This window comes from Homo sapiens, chromosome 1, assembly GCF_000001405.40.
Source record: "Homo sapiens chromosome 1, GRCh38.p14 Primary Assembly".
NCBI lineage: Eukaryota > Metazoa > Chordata > Mammalia > Primates > Hominidae > Homo > Homo sapiens.
Genome location: NC_000001.11, coordinates 163,872,740 through 163,877,023, shown reverse-complemented (window position 1 = coordinate 163,877,023; position 4,284 = coordinate 163,872,740). Strand labels below are relative to the sequence as shown.

The following is a 4,284-nucleotide window of genomic DNA, read 5'->3' as shown; positions in this document are numbered from 1 at the left end:
AGCCAGGATCCTTCTTGCTGCAAATACAGGATGCCACACAGTAGACAGCCTATACACATTCTTCAAGCACCAGGAAGGAAAGCACACTAACAACAACAAAGCAAAAGTTTTGAGAAAAAAAAACAGTGTATCTATTTCAAAAGCATAGTAGTCATTGTGAGAAAAAGTAGAATTTTGACGGAGTTCCTCACCGTTATCTTATGTTAAATCAGGGATGTGTGAGGTCGGAAGCAGCAGCATTGTTTTAGTTCTTACAGCTGTTAAAGGTCTTAAGCCTGCTTAATAGACAGGTGGAAACTTTGCCTTGCGGTGAGTGCTAAAAAGTGATGCCCTTCCCCAGACAACAGTTCTGCATGCTTAGGCTCTCCCTCAAAAAGGGTGACATGGCAACAGTGAAAAATGTCAGTTCTCTGACTTACTAGATAAAAAAAGCCAATGTTTACTGAGCACCAATTATGTGTCACAGTTTACATGCATCATTCAATTTAGACCTCACTGATATTCCTGCCTTGGCACATAAGAAAACTCATGCTTATGCATATAGAGCTATGGGCCATGGGTTATACAGCCACCCAGGTAGAGAATGGGATTTGAAGTCTAGCATTTCCAGTTCTGGAGCCTGAATAGAAAGGGTTAAACCTCTCTATTCTAACCTCTGTGCTAGACAATCATACTGTTTTCCCAGGGCAAATGGCAATTACCGAGGCGGTCTGTATTAATGTCATTTAGGGCAAATCATGTTTCCAGACTGTTTTTTCCAGTGTAAATCTCACATGGATGAAGAAAATACATGACAAAGAAAATGAAGCCAGAAGAGGGAAGCGGGTAGGAGGAAAGATTGCACAAACTTAGGAAGAATTTGCAAAATGAGACAACATAGCTAACCACTGCCACGAAGCTACATTAGGAGGACTGATGAAGTAAGTGGTGTAGCTGGGCCCTGTTCCTTGGAGGAAGGAGCTTTATAAATAACCGAGGCTACTTTCTCTTTAAAAGAGAATTAAATGAATGTTGATTGTTTGCTTAACTAGCACAACGTGACCTTTATTGCTAGTGATTTTTTTTCTTCCGGTAAAAGGCAAGACCCTTGAGATCATAGGGCATCTCCAACATGTGGAGCTGCCCAGAATTTGTACTGAGGGTCCCCAGAAAACCATCTTGGTCCCAGACAACCTCACCCAGGCAAGCATGTGAAGTACATGGGATAGCAAAGGGCTGGGTGCCATGGCATTTGTTTTTCATTGAATAGGATTAGGGATTTTGACATGAATGATTAATCACCACATTGCAGACGGCTGACGAACGCAGGAAAGAGTCCACTGGAAATGGAGGGTGCACGCAATCTATTCCAAACAGCTGCCGGGTGTTCCCATCCCTTCCGCCCTCCCTACTCTTGTCTCAGGTTCCTCCCTCCTTGTTTCTTTCACATTCTCTTTCTTCCTTTTCTAAGTCATTTTGTTTCCTCTCGCTCTCTCCTTTTCTTTCTTTCACAATCATTTTCTTTCCACCCCAGCCCATCTTAATTGATGTTGATTTTCTCTTTTCTTTCCAGCATCACGCACCTTTTGTCTTACTTACATACTGAGCCTGTTATCCAGGCCTGAAGCCCCAAGGGAGAACACCCTGAGGGCTTTGTACAAGCAGGCAACATTTGAAAGTATTAGGCTAAATTGCAGCTTTCCGTATCACACCCTTATGTACAAGGGCAGTGAAGAGGAAAGTGGCCATCCGCTGACTGAAGAACATGAACAGAATTAGACAAAGCCACATATATACAGTTTTATGTAAAGAGCATAGTAGTAGAAAGAGGATGTGTATGGCCACCTGTCTCGAGTCCTGAAGGCTTCAAGTGACTCCTTCCTCCATGTTTGCTATAGTTTGTTAATCTTCTCTTTTACTTTAAAATGGTGTTTCCTTTTAACCATTTGGGTTTTAGAAAGCTGTGTTTGCTGTAATTCTCCTTCGAAAAATTATACCCTCAGAAATCCTTGAGTCTTTACAGCCTAGAGCAAGAACTCTGGAGTCTGATTTTCTTGTTTGATTCCTGGCTTTACACTTTATAGTGGTGATACCCTAAATCGGTGGTTCTCCGCAGTTAGCATGCATCAGAACCAGTGGGGACATTTGTAAAAATGCAGACTGCTACTTTCCACCACTAGAGTTTCTGATTCATGAAGACTAGAATGGGATCTGAAAATCTGCTTTTCTAATAAGCTTCCAAATGATCTTGATGCTGTTGGCCTGGGAATCATACTTTGAGGACCTTTTCCCTAAAATGACTTTCTTGGTCTCCATGCTTGTGGTTCCTTCCATATTTATAAATTCAAGTAAGATTTGTGACCTAGCATTAATAGTTTAGGAAATTGAAGATGGTTCTTAGAGAAAGAAAATGCTACCACCAAAACTGACCAAATATCAGCAATGAGTGTAATGTATCCAAGAAAGTCATCTATGACAAAGCTGTAAACTGCTTCTTAGTCCTCCAGAATCTTTTTTTCATACACATCTATTGATAGATCCCTCTCTTCTCTGTACCATACCAAATGAGTATCTCCCTATCTACCCTTCTCTCAGATTCTTCATTTACAAGTGATTAAAAAAAAATTAACTAGCCAAGCCAAACAAATTAGCAAGCTGTAAGAACCTCCCTCCTCCTGCCCAAAGTGCAGTGTGACTGCCTGCCACCAGGAGTCCTCTTAGCAGTCTGGGATCAATTAGTAATTGTAATTGAAATCGATCATCATTAATGATATAACTTTGGGCTGTTGAAGGTTGATTTCACTAGAATTACATCACAAAACCAGAGGCATTACAAAGAATTGCTGGCAAAAGGAAAATTGGAAAAAACAAACAATCCATAAGCACTGACTCAAGTTGGATGGTCAAGTTGGCCCCTCTGCTTTTATAATCCATTTGTTTCATTATACACAGATGTGGCTTTTCATGCATGGGGTAACATCTGTAAAGGTTTTTAATTAACTGATTAGCAATCAGCTGGCTTGAAACAGATAAGGTATAAGCTTTGTAAATGCCATCAGGTCCTTAAAACAAAGGGCTCTAAACCCAAGGCTGGCTTTGCAGACACCAATCCAACAGTCCCAAGGCTTTTGAGGGAGCTCACTTCTTACAAACTCACATCAAGCAACCCTGTCTATACTGCTGACTCCACTTTATGTAAAGCTAGCCCTGTGGGAGACATTGTCTCAACACAGGTGAGAGTCTTCCTTGAGCATAAGCTTGGAAGGGAGATTGAAGAACATTTGCCTTTGATGAGGAAATATGATCTTAAAGCCCATGGATAGGTGACTGCTGTAATGTACATGGTCTCAAAAAGCTGAGCTGTCACATTTAGCTAATGGATGGAAGCATGAAAAACTTTGGAAATATCAAAGCTTAACGTTTTTCCAGTAACATTAATTCACTTATCCTGTACATAATTTTTTGAGATTACTCATTAAGCTGTTAAAATAGCTTTATATAGAATATGAAAAATATGGTTGCTTGTACGTGACTAAGAGTCTCTCAGGCTTTGTATCTCCTAACATTTTTTTTTTAGTATAAATTTGTACCTGAGTGCTTTATTAACATAGCTTTTTGCATATAATTTCCCTAGTGGTTTTTTGTTTTAAAAGAAAGTATGACTGGAGCAAAGGAACTGCCAGTATTTAATAATGTTTGTATTTAAATATTCTACATAGAATTTGAAGTTAGTACAGTGAGGGAGTAACTTTGTGAGGGGAAGGTACAGATTACCATTTTACTCTTGCTGCCATGTATTTGAGGCTTTTTTTAAATCAGGGGAACTTGAACCAAAAAGGGAAGAAAGCTTGGTGTAAGATATAGTTTCTTTCCCACTCTCAACTACCCACCAAGATCTTTCTTATAAACTGTTTGTAGTTAACCCAGAAACTTCCCTGGCTAAAGTCCACAGACTGGAAATGAGTGTTCCCATCTCTGCCTCTGTCATCAGAACCTGGCCCTACTGAAGCCATTAACACCACTGCCTTGCTCTCTGTCACATGAACATGGTAGAAAATGGATTAATCTGAGAGTGGGTAGAAACTGAGGTGTAGCAGAATTTCACACAACTCGGGAATGTCACCGAAGTTTTCTTAGCGTAAATTTTCTCATATGCCTGGTGAGAAATTGTAAATCATAAAATTGTGTCGAATATGAAATTGAGTTACAAGTACATGAAAATGCCTACAAAAGTTTGTTTTGTTCACCTTCGTCTCTTTCCCCAAACTCCTCACTAAAGAAATTCTTTTCTGCAACCAGAAAAGA

The 4,284-nt window shown here is 39.9% G+C and overlaps 1 annotated feature.

The window, feature by feature from the left end:
• Window positions 1,299-1,855: an enhancer, noted in NCBI's record as "NANOG hESC enhancer chr1:163844406-163844962 (GRCh37/hg19 assembly coordinates)". NCBI's record gives its function as "activates a minimal SCP1, AML or CMV promoter by ChIP-STARR-seq in naive H9 embryonic stem cells {active_cell/tissue: H9 hESC(naive)}" and the evidence as "EXISTENCE:reporter gene assay evidence [ECO:0000049][PMID:30033119]".